The sequence below is a fragment of the Homo sapiens genome, chromosome 15 (assembly GCF_000001405.40).
Source record: "Homo sapiens chromosome 15, GRCh38.p14 Primary Assembly".
NCBI lineage: Eukaryota > Metazoa > Chordata > Mammalia > Primates > Hominidae > Homo > Homo sapiens.
The window spans coordinates 47,966,965-47,982,748 of record NC_000015.10 but is presented as its reverse complement, the minus strand read 5'-3'; the positions used below and the strand labels follow the sequence as shown (position 1 = coordinate 47,982,748).

General features: G+C 38.7%; 2 long non-coding RNA genes across 5 annotated transcripts in view; one reads left to right on the top strand and one right to left on the bottom strand.

Moving 5' to 3' along the window:
- The window catches only part of LOC124900354 (uncharacterized), a 165,186-nt gene that overhangs the window by 66,800 nt on the left and 82,602 nt on the right, over positions 1-15,784 (bottom strand). The window lies entirely within an intron of this gene.
- LOC102724553 (uncharacterized) overlaps positions 1-15,784 on the top strand; it is a 43,914-nt gene that overhangs the window by 20,221 nt on the left and 7,909 nt on the right. Inside the window, exon 3 of one of the 2 annotated variants that reach the window (XR_001751521.2) lies at positions 13,041-13,689. The exons of the other annotated variant lie outside the window; for it this stretch is intronic. This is a non-coding gene — a long non-coding RNA (uncharacterized LOC102724553). Of the gene's footprint in view, positions 1-13,040; positions 13,690-15,784 lie in introns of those variants that run through there. 2 annotated transcript variants of the gene reach the window in all.

The following is a 15,784-nucleotide window of genomic DNA, read 5'->3' as shown; positions in this document are numbered from 1 at the left end:
TTGTAGTAACAGTGTTTATTTCCGTTGGTCACAACAGAATCTGAACTAAGACTTTTTCCTCATCATGTTCATCCCACGTAAAGGAAATACTTGATTGGTACTGTCTGGTTATTCAGGAAGAGGGGAAAATTGAGGCAAGCCATGACCATTCTTATTTTGCTAAATAGTAGTTACATCTCAACTCTCAAATCGTTTTTGTTTGCTTCCACTTCAAACATCCTTACAACAAACCAACAAACACACAAAGTAAAAGATAAAGACCTAATAGTTACAAGGTTGAAACTAACTAGAATGATTAGTATGTTCATATCTACTCACGCTACACTTGCTTAACAGCTGTGTAACTCTTCCTGGTATCACTTACCACATTAGGTACATCACTTACCATTGCACCAATGTATAAATTGTCTGTTTAATGTCATTTCCCCAATTCCACTCCTGACTATAAATCTCCACAAGAGCAGGGGCTTGCCTTTCGTTTGTCTTAGTGTCGTCAGCATCTAGCACAATACCTGGCACCAGTGGTTCTCAAAAAACACTAGTTGCATAAATGAAATAGCACTTCTGTTTTACTTGTCCTGTTTCTTTCTGTTCTCTGGTTATCTCATTCTGCCATTTGAAAGATATTTCTCTACCATTATTATCTCAGATGGTTGTCTCTACTTTTTCAATTTAAAGAAAGACATATCATCTTTATGGTTGAGATACATTGGTTGAGATACATATGGTTGAGGTACTTTGATTTTTCTGTCCTGTTCAACTTTTTTTTAAATTAATGGTTTGGACAATGACATTGATAATGTCCTATTCCAATACGTGTATGCATGAAGCTGGGAGGTATAAGAATATGATAAGCTGAATCTGTCAATATCAGATCTAATACACACAGATGTAACACTCTTTGGTTGGGTACAATAAAAACCCCACTGTTCAAATTGTAGAGAAAAATTTGTGCTTCGGTGGTAACCTGCATTGTTTAGAGCACCCACTTCTGGATTAACTGATTCTGATTCTATGGGCATTCTGCACCTTTCATCACCTTTGAGCTATTTTTCAATTATGTAAATTATAGATAACCCACAGCAGTCCAAAATAATTCTCATATATAGACTTGCAAATAAATTCTGTCCTGTGTAAGTTCAAGTGACACTGTGGATCAGCCAGTTTTGTATCCATTCGCAATTTTATTTTAACACTCCTTCTAATCTAAAATGTATCTGTTCTTTGGATTCACCTTAGAACAGGTAGAAGCATCTGCTTGGTTCTGTTATAAAATAACGAGTTAAATAAAATCTTTAATGCATGTTCACTTTTTATTTATATGAGAGTCATGATTTTACCTCATTTTGAAAGTTATTCTTTAACAAAATAGAGAATAGGAAAGAATTGGGTAAATAATAATATGAAAATTATTTGAGTTCTCAGTTGACAGTAAATTTAATGTGAGTCACCAGTGTAATGTGACTGTTGCTTTAGTTATTTAGATATTAAGTATTTAATTTAGAAACACTATTTTAAAATACTGGTCAACTTCTCTTATTTTTAATCCAATAACTGATTGTTTTGATAATTGTTGCTATAAATCATGTTTTAAAATCACGTATGCCAAGCCATTATAATTATCTTTTTAAAAGGAATGCTTCAATATTCCTGATAGGTTATTCTCCTAGATGAATTACTCTGTGAGTTTGTCTGAGTCTATAATGTATTCATTTGGGATCTTGGTTTTGCATAAAATCTATAAATATTTGCTTAGGAATTATTGTCATTACTAGGGTATTTGGTCTTTCCAGTACGAAGCAATGTATATCTTTCCAATTATTCCTCTCATCTTTTATTTCCCCATTAGGAGTTTTAAATTTTATTTGAATAATTAAATCATTTATGTTGTGAATTAAATAGATATGCATTTAATGGTTTCGATTGTAATAGAATCTTTTTAATTTTGGCTCTAGCTATTTGTCATGGGTGCAAAAGAAAGAAATTGATCATTATATTTATTTTTTCCTAAAAATTATTATCAACCTTTTGGGAAAACTTATTGTATTTTTCTCAAATAAATACCATCAGTATTTCTATCTAGTGCTATGCTTTTTTTCAAAAGTAGGTAAAAATGTACTAGGCATCCTCGTTTTGAAAATAGTCTCCATTCATCCTGGAGAAAACCAAGATGAGAAAAATTATAGATCCTCCTTTCCTTCCTAAAAGATAGCTTAAGTAAAGGATGTTTTGCTTTTTAGGCAAGGTTGTTTTGGGACAAGGCAGTTAGAAACACAACACAGATGATAAATCTTTCTATTCCATATTTGACCAAAGATAATTTAGGATATTCTGTGGGTTCAATCAGGCTTTGTATATGTGCTCCAGGGCCCAGGAGTATATCTACTCAAACGAAATTCCACACAGTCTCTTCATCATTCTTTTGGGTATGTGCAGCATGCAAAGGAGATCAAAAGTTTGAAATTAAGGCTGGGCGCAGTCGCCCATGCCTGTAATCCCAATAAATTGGAAGGCTGAGGTGGGCGGATCACTTGCGGTCGGGAATTGGAGACCAACCTGGCCAACATGGCAAAGCCCCGTCTCTACAAAAGATACAAAAATTAGCTGGGCATGGTGGCGCATGCCTGTAATCCCAGCTACTTGGGAGGCTGAGGCAGGAGAATCTCTTGAACCTGGGAGATGGAGGTTGCAGTGAGCTGAGATCGTGCCATTGCACTCTAGGCTGGGCGACAGAATGAAACTCTGTCTCAAAAAAAAAAAAAAAGTTTGAAATAAAGATTACAAGATAAACCAGAGTAAATTTTTTCTTAAATGTAAATATGCTTTCTAATCATTTATAGATTTTCCTTTCTTTCCCTTTGGTAGTCATCTGTCTATAATAATCATTTAAAAAATATTTTGATACATAATAGTTGTACATATTTTGGGGGCATGTGTGACATTTTGATACACGCATACAATGTATAATGATCAAATCATGGTAACTATGACATCCATCATCTCAAATATTTATGTTTGTTTTGGGAACATTACAATTCTTCTAGTTATATTGAAATATACAATAAGTTATTGTAAACTATAATTTTCTTACTGTACTATCAAGTACTAGCACTTATTCCTTCTATCTGACTGTATTTTTGTACCCCTAAACCAACTCCTCTTCAACCCCCCTTCCTATTTTTCTTTCCAGACTCTGGTAACCACCATTCTACTCTCCACCTCCATGAGATCCACTTTTCTAGCTCCCACTTACGAATGAGAATGTGTGATATTTGTCTTTCTGTGCCTTGGCTTATTCCATTTAACACAATGACCTCCAGTTCCATCCATGTTGTTGCAAAAAACAAGATTTCATTCTTTTTCACGGATGAATAATATTCCATTGTATTATACACCACATTTTCTATATCCATCAATATCCCTTGATAGACACAGGTTAATTCCACATCTTGGCTATTATGAATAGTGAGCCAATAAACATGGAAGTGTAGATATGTCTTTGATATACTGATTTTCTTCCTTTTGGGTGTATACCAGCAGTGGCATTGCTGGATCATATAGTAGTTCTATTTTCAGTTGGCTGAAGAACCTCCATACTGTTTTCCATAATGGCTGTACTACATTACATTCTGACCAACAGTGTATGAGCATTCCCATTTCTCCTCATCCTTGTTAGTATTGGTTATTTTTTGTGTGTTTTTTGACAATAGCCATTCTAACTGGGGTGATATGATATCTCATTGTGGTTTTGATGTGCATTTCTCTGATGATTAGTGATGTTGAGCATTTTTACATATACCTATTGGCCATTTGTACGTCTTCTTTTGAAAAATGTCTATTTAGGTGTTTTGCTTATTTTAAATTCGATTATTTGTTTTTTCGTTATTGAGTTGTTGGAGTTTCTTATAATTTCTGGCAATTAATCTCTTGTTGGATGGATAGTTTGCAAATACTTTCTCCTATTCTGTAGGTTGTTTCTTCACTTTGTTGATTGTTTCCTTTGCTGTGCAGAAGCTTTTTAGCTTGATGTAATTCCATTTGTCTATTTTTGCTCTTCTTGACTATGCTTTTAATATCTTACCTCCTCAAAATCTGCCCAGACCAATGTCCTGTAGTGATTCCCCAATGTTTTCTTCTAGTAGTTTCATTGTAGCTCTTACATTTAAGTCTTTAGTCCATTTTGAATTAATTTTTGTATGTGGTGAGAGGTGGGGTCTGGTTTCATTCTTCTCTATATGGATATCCAGTTTTCACAGAAGCATTTACTAAAGAGACAGTTCTTTACCCAGTGTATGTTCTTGACAACTTTGCCAAAAAGGGGTTGGCTGTGTTCAATTGGTCTATGTATCTGTTTTATGCCAGTACCATGCTGTTTGGGTTACTATAGCTTAGTAATATCATTTGAAATCAGGTAGTCTGATGCCCTCAGTTTCAGGGTCTTTTGTGCTTCCATATGAATTCTAGGATTTTTTTTTTCTATTTCAGGGAAGAATGTCATTGGTATTTGATGTGGATAAAATTCAACATCCCTTCATAATCAAAAGTCCTCAACACAATAAAGAACATATATGACAAGCCCACAGCTAATATACTGAACAGGGAAAAGTTGAAAGTGTTTGCACTAAGATCTGGAACAAGACAAGGATGCCCACTTTCATGACTTTTATTCATCCTAGTGCTGGAGGTCCTAAGCATAGCAATTAAGCAAGAGGAAGAAATAAAGGGCATCCAAATTGGATAGGAAGAAGTCATATTGTCCTTGTTTGCAGACAGCATGATCTTATATTTAGAAAAACCCGAAGACTGCCAAAAAACTCTTAGAACTGACAAATTTAGTAAAGTTGTTAGATACAAAATCAACATACAAAAATCAGTAGCATTTCTATACACTAGTATGATCAGTCTGCAAGAGAAATCAAGAAAGTAATCCCATTTGTAATAGTTACAAAAATAAAATATCTAGGAATAAATTTAACCAAAAAGTGGAAGATCTCTGCAAGGAAAATTGTAAAACACTGATGACAGAAATTAAAGAGGACAACAACAACAAAAAAAAATGAAAAAGAAAAAAAGAAAAGATATTTCATGCTCATGGGTTGAAAAAATTAATATTGTTAAGTTCCAGTTGTTTGACCTTAGGAAACAATTAAACCCTTCTGAGTTTCCATTTTTTTACTTGTAAAATGGGGATAAAACAGTATGTTTTGCCTGTCTCCCTGGGTGGTTGTTTGAATCAGATAAAATGATGACAACACTATCTCTTTGTTAGAGTGGTTCGCCATTGAGGATTGTTTTAATTGAATTCACTAAGAATGGGTTCGATTTACTTCATGGCTGCCATGGTTCCATGAGATTACAGAGGGATGTGAATATGGGTAAAATGCAAAATACGCTCTCCGTCTCCTAGAGAAATGTCTCTCAAACACTAAATATGCACACAGATCTCTCAGGGTCTTGTTAAATTGCAGATGCTATTCAGTTAGTCTAGGGTAGAGCCTGAAATTCTGCATTTCTAACTTCTCAAGTGATACCCATACTGTGGGTGACAAGATCCCATACTCTTGATAGGGCAACAAGTCATATATATTAAATCAGAAAAACTAAGTACCATTATATATCTAATCTATGGAAAATTGGAAAGATTGGTGTTGGCAGGAGCATGAAAAAGGGTTTCATGACCATGAAAGATGGGACAGAATTTCACTTGAAATACTGGGCTCTCAAGATTCAACTTGAGATTCCCTCCACCGTTGGTAAGGAGACAAAAGCAGGCTTGGGCATACCACAGAATCTTGCTGGAGAAAAAGTGATTTGTCTTTTGTGAGATTCTGGGGTCAAGATGTTGAAATTGCTTCTGAAACAATATATGAGGATATTTAACCAAGAAACAATAATAAGTTGATGTTTGGAGCTCAATATCATGTTTGCACATACATATTGAAGTTCTGATAGCTCCTGCATTCTTGTGAACACATATGTGCACATACCTTTTTACACATGATTTCTCCAAACAGGATACTTTCTACAGTTTTCTGTAGACAAATCACATGCTTTGTATTTATAAAATTATTAAAGGCAGCATTTAGCCTTCATTATGCATGAGTTAGTTTCCCAAGACAGTCAGAAGCAATTCCTTTCTGTATGCTGATGAGCTTGCTCTGGAATGAATGTGTTACTGGCTTCTCATCCCCAGGAATGGTCTACAGCAAAGCTACAAAATTGAGTAAATTTATCTTCATGGCTTACCGATTTCTTTGGTGCTCTCATCCCTTGGGGACCTGGAGCTCCTCCCTGATGGTCTTGATCATCCTCATTCTAAATCCCAGGCTCACACCCCATCCTGCTATCAAATATGCCCAATTTCATGTTCATTCCCACAAATTGGAGCTACTGTAATAAACTCATCTCCCTCATAGGTCCCACCTGAAGCCTCTACTTCAGTCAGAGTGTTTACCCTTTCTTCTTGGGCACACATTCTGCTCTCTGCCCTATGCTTTCACTTCTTCCTGGACTGCCCCTCCTCTTCCAGTCTTCTGAGCCAGGGAGACAGATCCTACCCATCCTGCACCCAGCTCAAATGCTGCCCACTTTGTAAAGCCTTCCAAGACTCCCCAGTACGAATCCTTCAATAAAATATTGTTTATATTATTCATCGACAATTAACCATTTGCTACATTGTTACTATTTTTCTATTGCTATCTTCCATTGTCATTCAGAGCTTATATTCAGCTCTTTAAGACTTTAATACCTTGGTTTCCTTGCTATAAAAGCCTCCTGAAGTACAGTTTGGATCTTATGTATTTTTGTGTGTTATACAGAGAGTGTCACACATGTAAATGCTTGTAAAAAGCTATTTTGATTTGATGAACTAATTCTTAAAGGTTTTCAGGATAATCTTGATGAATATGAAAGGCCATTAGGTAAAATGCTAGCTGGGGCTTCCACTGACTATAACTGGAGAGAAACATAACTTTAGAAATCTGTATAAGATCAGTGCAAGTGTTTCTGATTCACCTCTAAACATATCCCAAAGCTGACCCTTCCCTGGAGCCTACCCTTTCTATGGGGCCAGCCCTGTCACCATGGTTACTGTGCCCTCAGCTGCAGTGCAGCCTTCAAGCTGCCAAATACAAAAGAATGGAGGGGAGATCACTGCTTAGGACTCCTTGCCTGGCCTTGTTCTACTCCTATTATTCTCTCAAGTAGGAGTGGGGTACTTCATAGAGATATCAAGCTCAAGCTGAGAAATAAAGGGCACAGGCACAAGCCCAAACCCTGAGTGGATGCTGGAAAAGGTGCCCCTCCTTTGGGAATTTGATGCCTGATGAATTCACTATGCACACCTGCCCCCATCCACAGAGCCCTTTGGCCTGCTGAGGAACATGGTGTCTGGCCCTGCCTCTCAAACTTCTTTAGGGATCCAGGAGTGCAGGTCTCGAGGGCAACTCTGGGCAGCCCTACCTGGTTTCCTGTTCTGTCTGAAAAAGTAAGTCCCTATCACTCTGTGTGGTTGAAGTAGGGCAGGGCATGCCCCCAGCCAAGGGAAGTAGCCGAGCCTCCACACATCAGAACTCCTTCCTAAGCAGCAATTAAGGTGCTCGCTTCACAGGTCCAGCACTGGCTTCAGACCAGTCCTTTTCCCTTGCATCCACCCCCAAACCCTCCTATCATGCCCCAAACCTAGTTACATCAATAAGAAAAGCAGGACTTTATATAGCTACCTCTGATCATTGATGTCTAGCATACTTCAGCTCTGAGCAATCCTCACTGTCACCCAGGAAAGTGACTGGGGAGAAGCCAGCTCTCTCTGCTTTGCTCTCTGCTGGCAGCCACAGACTAGCAACAGCCATCTTGCCCTGATGAGCTCAGAGCTGGGCTCACGTCCTACAGTCCTACCTGGCTACTTGACCATAGGCTTGGCCATTCTTTCCTCTGCCTGTTCCCTTTTCTGAGCTTCAGAGGCTATTCCTGGAAAGATAAATGCTCACAAATGCACCTCCTTCTTCCAGATGGAGGGAGAGCATGGAGGAGGAGAATTAAGGGAACAAAAAATAAAGCATATGAGGTTGAGACAGGGTGGGTCTGGAGCCAAGGAGCAGTTTTCAGGATTGGTCACCAGTACCCTGAACTCTCAATAAGTCAGGAGGGCAAGTTTGGGGGTTACAGAGGACTATGTAAGAGGAGCTGGAGGGTGGAAATACGAGAGGAGTATCGGTCTTTGGGGAGCTTACTCTCCTGCAGACACAGCCCATCCTATTTTGAGGATGCATGTATGCTTTCCTGAACCAAATGGACATCATGTTAGACTTGAGTCCCTGTTGAGGCTCTACTTTCAGATATTGCAACTCACATGTCTCACTCTCCTTTATATTTGATCTTAAATGCAAGAACAGTGGTGAAGTGAGTGTCAACCCTCAGGAAACTGATGTAAAGCTTGCTTGGGATCATCTGAGAGATGTTGAAAAATCCCTTCCCACCTCCTCCTACACCCTTTCAAAAGATGAAATCTAACTCACCACTAATCACAGAACCTGAAATTGCATGTTAGTTTCTTTTGAGGGGGAGATATCTTGTCTCCTGACGTCTTTAGTTAAGAAGCAGTGCCTTTCATAGACAGGGCAAAAAAAATTATTCAAAATTATGTGAATATTTGGAAAATAATAAAAACACAATCCTCCCTTCGTAGCTTCATAAACCAAAATAACTTCCAGGCTTGTGCAATACTTAAAATGTAAAAAGAAAAATGTTAAACCCTTAACATACAAGAAGACATATAGGTAAATGTTTACTTGATTTCGAGACAGAAAAATCTCTGTAAATCAATAGAAGAAAATATGGAAGAAAAAGGTAGATTTAACCACATATTAGGTTAAGAATTCAGTGTGTCAAGATAGATTATAAACACCGTTAAAAGGTAAATGTCAAACTGGGGGAACTTGCATTAAATATGCCAAGGGACTGATATCATAAAGGAATAAAAAGCTTTTCCAAATCAATATGAAAACTCTAAGACTTTCATTGGAAAATCAGTAAAAAAAATAGGTAGTTCACATATGAATAAATGTTCAATGTCGCAAGCAATCAAAGAAATGCAAAATAAAATGATGTAAGAAATTGGCATTTAAAAACCAGTCAAATGGAACTCAGGTGATCGTAAGATAAAATAGACACTCCCAAACTCTGGATGGGTGTACAACTTGATACTTTTTAGAAACTCATTTTAGAATTGAGAATAAAAAATTAAAAATGTCCCCATGAGCTGTTCTGGTAATTTCACATCTGGAAATCAGTTCTAAGAAAATAAGAAGCATTGTGGACTGAAACAGCACATATGAGGATGCTCATTATAAAAGCAAAAAATTAGAAGCAGCCTAAACAAACAACGATGGGAATGGTGAAATAAATCACAATAAACCTGTGTGATGGACTGCTATAAAGCAATGTAAAAACACAAAACACACGAAATGAGAAAACAGTTCTCATATAATTTGATGTTAAAAATAGCAAGAAAAAAATTTATAAAGTATACTTCAAAACAAATATATTAGTTTTCTGCTGCTGCTGTGACAAATTACCACAAATGTAATGGCTTAAAACAACACAATTTACTATTTTACAGTTCGGACATAGGTCTCACCAGGCTAAAGTCAAAGTATCAGCAGAGCTGTGTTTCATTCTGGAGGCTCTAGGGGTGAATCCATTTCCTTGCTCGTTTAGGTTGTTGGCAGAATTCAGTTCCCTGTGGATGCAGGATTGAGATCCTAGTTTTCTTGCTGTCAACTGACAGCAGTTCCCAGCTCTAGAGGCCACCCACATTCTTTGGTTCATGGCCTCTTCCTACATCTCCAAAGTCAGCAAAGTCTGGTCAAGTTCCTTAAATACCGTGAATTTTTTCTTCTTTTTTATCCTATCTCTCTGACTCAGCAGGGAAATGTACCCCTTTTGTAAGGACACATAGGATTAAATTGGCCCCACCTGGATAATCCAGCATGAAATCTTCCCATATCAATGCCCATAACCTTAGTCATATCTACAAAAGTCCCTTTTGCCATGTAAGGGTAACATTTTCACAAGTGCTGGGGATTGAAATGTGGACATTTTAAGGAAACTATTACTCTGCTTACCATACTATGTAAAAATATGTTGCAAATATGTATGTTGGGATCTAGCAGGAGGACTGAAATAAGTATGTCACCAAAATGTTGCTGTAGTTATTTCAGAATTATAAAAATGAGAGTGATTTTTATTTTTATTTAAACATTTTTCCTCAATATATTTTGCATTTTCCTAAAATGAGGAAAAAGGTTAATCCAGCGACTCAGGTGGGTTAATAGCCTAATATATGGTGAACCATTAACACATTGGTATGAATTAGTCCATGAACTTCCTTTTCAAATGGGACTCCTAATGGAGAAGAAAACCCTGGGAAAATGATAATAATCCCTTGAATATGAATGGGTTTTTGTACTTTTCGATGGATTCTCACATGCATTATTCCTTTATCTTTCTGGTTGCCTTAGATCTTTTCTGGGAGGTACTGGTTCAGGTGTTGTCTGGAGGACACAATAGTCAGTCAACAAATATTTAGTGGGGATTTATTGAGTTTTGGAGATGTGTGATGAGTGAGGTCAGAGGCTAGGGATCTTTGTATGCCCAGACAAGAGACAGAGGAGGAAGAAGGGTAAATTTTGCTGAGGGAAATGCATTAAACAATCTTAGGGAAATTAAGATTCCCTGCTCGACTTTGTGAAATACTGTTTAGTAGCGAACATGTTGTCTATTTTCTGCTCCTTTGTCTCCAGTCCACATCTGTCTCACTGAGTGAGTCACCTTGTTCTTTCCTCCTCTAGTTCACTGTCTGTTAATATAATCTGCCCCAGATCACAAGAGGTGTCTTTTTTTTCCACTTAGATCCCAATGACACCGGTGCCTACTCTGCCTAGCCCCTCCTCCCATCCTTCATGCTAGCCATCATGTTGCTGGCTTGTCTACCAATACTGACTCACTGTTCCCTGCCCTGCCCTACTTCGGTGACCTGGCAAGATCTTGCACTTCATGTCCCCTCTCTCCCAACAGAGCCTTCCTGACTAGGTTTTTCTCTACTGTATCAGGGATGGAACTTGTCCCTCAGCATCAGCAGTTCTTCCATTCCTCTGAATAATGGTCTTGTCTTGCTTTGAGGCTTTGTCTGTGTATCCAGAGTGAGGATGAGAAGGAGAGACAAAGCATGGATGGGAAGGAAGTCTAGAATAATTATACCATCTATCTCCAGAGCCACCCCTTTGCTCAGAAGAATATCTCACACCTATTCCTCGCCAAATAACTTTTTGGTTCTCACTGCCAACTTTAATAGACACTTCCAGTAGAGACTGCCTATACTACAGCATAAAATCCATTAACTTTATCCTTAATAAATGGATAAGAATCACTCCATGGGCCCATAATCAGTCCATTAGTCCACACTTAGCTTCATTTGACTCCTTGCCTGGCTGGAACTTCACATTTGCTATTTAATGTCCTCATCACTACTCTAGAATCCTGTCTTCTAATTTTGCATTCTGTCTACACTGCTTTGTCCCAATCCCCCCAGGAAGAAATTCCTACTTTTTCTGCTCTCTGCCTCTGTTCCCTGCTTGCTGAAGATAAACACAGGATCACACTGGCCATGTCCACTGTATATTCATGTGTTTTCCAGTAATGATTTCCTATTGATTTCCCAGGGCACTTTTCATAATGGCTAGTCCAATCATGTCCTAACATCTGTAAGGCTCCTTTGATAATAACAACAACAATAGCAAATACTACTATAGTACTTAATGTATTCCAGGCTATTCCATGTGTGCTCAACAATTATTAAGTCATTAAATCATCCCAGTGACCCTAAAAGATAAATAGTATTATGATCTTTCCCATTTACAGATGAGGAAACGAAGTCACGAGGTGTTAAAGGAACTTTCCTGGGGCCACCCAGCGGGTCAGTGATGGTGCTGGGATTCGACACTGGGGGGTAGGGTATGTGTTCTTGACCAGTCTACTGGATCACTTCTTTATATTCCCATCCCCACTAGCTCAGAAGACAATTTTGCTTCCTATGTCACTAAGAAGATCAAGTCCATCTAACACATGAGCTTTCTTACCCACCTTCTCCTTCTATGTTATGTATTTTTGGCCTCCAAAGCCATTCTTTCTTCCACACTTTAGTCTGAGAAAGTGGTGCTTTCCTGTCCGACTGGGCAGGCTTCCCACTGTGTCCTCAACCCTGACTGTCTCTGAGGACTCAGGCTGCACTCTCATCCTTTCACGGCTCATCACCAGGATCTTCAGATCCCCCTCCCCAGTGGATCTTTTCTTCCAAAGACTTCAACTATGCATCGGCCTCCCTCATCCTGAAACAGCTCTGGGCCTTCATGTATAATGAGCTTAGAATGCTTTACCTGATTCTTTCTACTAAATTATGTCCTCAATTCTGTCCTTTCTACAGGTGCTCATTTGGACCTCCCCCAGGTGCCTTCTTTGAGCTCCATGGCCTGTCTTGCATTTCATGGCTCTGAACTCTTGTTGACCTTCAGAGCCCATTGTCCCAGTGTGTTTATTACCTTATTCTTGCCTTGTTTCCTAGAGATTATGCCCCCTTAGAAACATAACCCATTCATCTCTCCGTCAATTAATTAGCTAATTAATGGTTATATTGAAGCTGTTTACTGAGTGCCTACTGTGTGTCAAACACTATGCTAAGAATTAAGAATATAAACAAATATGGCAGCACTTCAAATTGAGACTTGCACAAAGAGTGGAAAACCACTAATTACGATGTAATAACCAAAGATTTGGTTGAATGTTCATATGTAATAGACACAGTGCAAAACCTATTCTTACATCACTTAAACTTCACGTGAAGGGGGAATTATTCACAATTTAAAGATGAGGCAGTTAATGTATAGAAAAAGGTTAGGCAACTCACCTGATATTATACAGCCAAGTGTGAGAGCAGGAGCCCAACCTCATTTACTTTTTAAATTCTACTATGCTTTCTACCATAGATATATTTATAACATAAATGAGAACCAAGAAGACAAACAAACCAAATCTCTGGGGAACAGAAGCCACTCTACAAAGTCTTCACAACGGAGCTAATATTTGATTTGCATTTTGGAGGAGAAATAGAAATTTGCTCAATGGACTGAAGTGTGGGCAGGAGAAAAAGGGAATCCTTGGCAGAAACACCGTAACATGGAATGGTGAAAAACAAAACAAAATACAATGAGATTAAGGAACTGCAGAAATACTTCTAAACCTGGAACATAGGGTATAAAAAAGGAAGACTCAAGATATGGTTCCAAGTTCCTTAGACCGTGGCTATATCATGAAGAGCCTTAGATGGCAAAGTAAAAAGTTTGAATTTTGTATTTTATGATCCTTAAAGTGCCTAGGAAAATATTAACACATATGAGCTATCCATATAATCGTTCTTGAACTGAAATTACAAGTATATAGAGTATGTGTCAGGAGGCTCTGAACTGGTGCCTGTAACTTTATGATGAGCTTACTGTTTTAGCTGCTGGAACATTTTAGCACCTTTCTTGACCTATTATTACATAAGTTTTTGTTGCCTTTCAACTTTTCGGAGAACAATTCTGCCATTTCTTTTTGAGTTTGAGCATTTTCCTACCTGCACAAAGGGAAGATGAGGTAATCCACATAACTGTTTTTTCTGTTTGAACATAATGCCAGAGACACCAACATCTGACATAACTCTTTTTCCTGATTTCTTGTGCATCCAAACAGGTATGGGCTGTAATGACTTTGGAAGATCCAAATAGCTATCATCTTGGCTGGAGAGAGGGTGACTTCCAAGCAAGGGCCTGTGCTCTGGCCTCACTCTCTGCGGCTCTGCAACATGAGCCTCAGCATCCCCTGTGCTACTCACTAGAAAGTGGACCTGACAGCTTTGGCAGGTAGAGCCTTGGGCTACAAAACCCTTCAGGCTGAGGTTGAAAATAAGGGCTCCCTGTTCCAGGGGTTATTGCTTGTTGCCCCCTGGGAAGTGGTGACTCACATAATCTGCATCTCTGTTTTCAATACACACCACAGAAAACTTCTTTCCTTTCTTCACCTTGAGTTGGTCATCAGCATGAAAATCAGACAGATCTTTCTAATGTGTGTTCCTTATAACATCAGTTCCAAGGGATGTTAATCCAATCAAGTTCCTGCAGTCAAATAGGGCAGGACCAAGTTTAGACTTCTCAGACTCCTTAACATTATAAGATACTTTCTAAATCTCCAAGAAGAATGGTGTTTTAAAAATTGCTTTGATTACAGAAGACTTTTCTTCCTGAGTCAAAATTGAGAGTACTGAGTGTTCCATGCAACACGTTTGGAACTTGATGCTCAGTGCTCTTATAGGCATAGAGTAACATGCATATTACAGTATATAAATAAGTACTTATTTACTTAGGATGCATGAGAATAAACTATTGCACAGATATGCATTTTCTGGATAACTGAACACAAACTCTGTTGAATACTAGACTGTGCATTAGTGTTACATATGTGGTGGGATAACATTTTGATAACATTTGAAATAACTCCTTTTTTGATTTTTTGTGCATCCATTTTTCCTTTCCCAAAGTTTTTTCTTCCCTGCATTTCTCTTTCTTCCTTTCCCCATTCCAAGCAGGGTCAGCCTTCTTTGGTTCATTGTCTCAGAGTAAGAAGGTGTCAGGGTGGAAGGCCGAAGTAGCCTATACGTCTGTCTGGCTTTTGTATTCCTCAAACCGAGGCCTTTAGAACAACACAGAGAACTCACAGAGTAGGCAAACGAAAGAGGATTTGGGGATACAGAGCCATGAAAAAAGAAGGGTAATCCCCCAGATTACAAATAGTGGCACTGTTGGGCAGAGAGAGGAGATAGGAGGGAGTGAAGAGGAGGTAGGGAGCGAAAGCAGGGGAGCCGAGGACAGAGGTAGAGGACGAGGACAAAAAGACATCATGAGGCTGGAAAGGAAACAGGCATTGAGTGTGCACCCAGCCTGACTGTAAAGAAAGATCTTTACCCTCTAAGACCAGGTCAGAGCAGCAGCGAGCCACAGCTGGTGTTGGGGAGCTGGCCAGCCACAGAGAGCTCACTACTAACCTGGGTGTGCACATGGCCCAGGACCTGGTGACCTGCTCTCCACTTACCCCAATGTTTTGACATTATTGACCCTTTCTTGGAATCTCTGATGGAACCTTAGAATGGGTGGGAGGATACTATAAAAGCTTGAGATTTGAATTCCTAATCAACTCGATGAGATAGGAGCCCCCAATAGAAATGATTGGGAATGAAAGAAAGTTAAATTTCTTGAAAATCTTGCTTTTATAAAGCATCATGCAATCTTTTCCATGGTTGGGGCTGTCTCGCAGCCAGGTGCTGAGGGTCTGTTGAGGAGTGAGCACCTTTGCAGCCGTGCCAATGTTGCAGGCCCCGGTGATTTTGCAGTTTTTATGTCTGCTTTTTATGTAGCTTTCCTGTCGTAAGCCCGAATTTCATTTCTTGATAATTATCATAGGTATACATAGGTCTAATTCTCTCCCTTTCCTCTCCAAATTTGCTCCTTTCATTGTGCTTTGGCCAGGAAACCAGATAACAAAGCTTCTGAGAATGATGTATAAAGGGAGAGGAAATCAGTTCTGAGGGCTGGCTCATTTTTCTCATCTACAAAATGACGGAGCTGTAATAGATCATCACCAAGGTCCAGTCCAGCTTGCACATTTTATGATTCCTCTGAATAAAGTATGTGAGCTT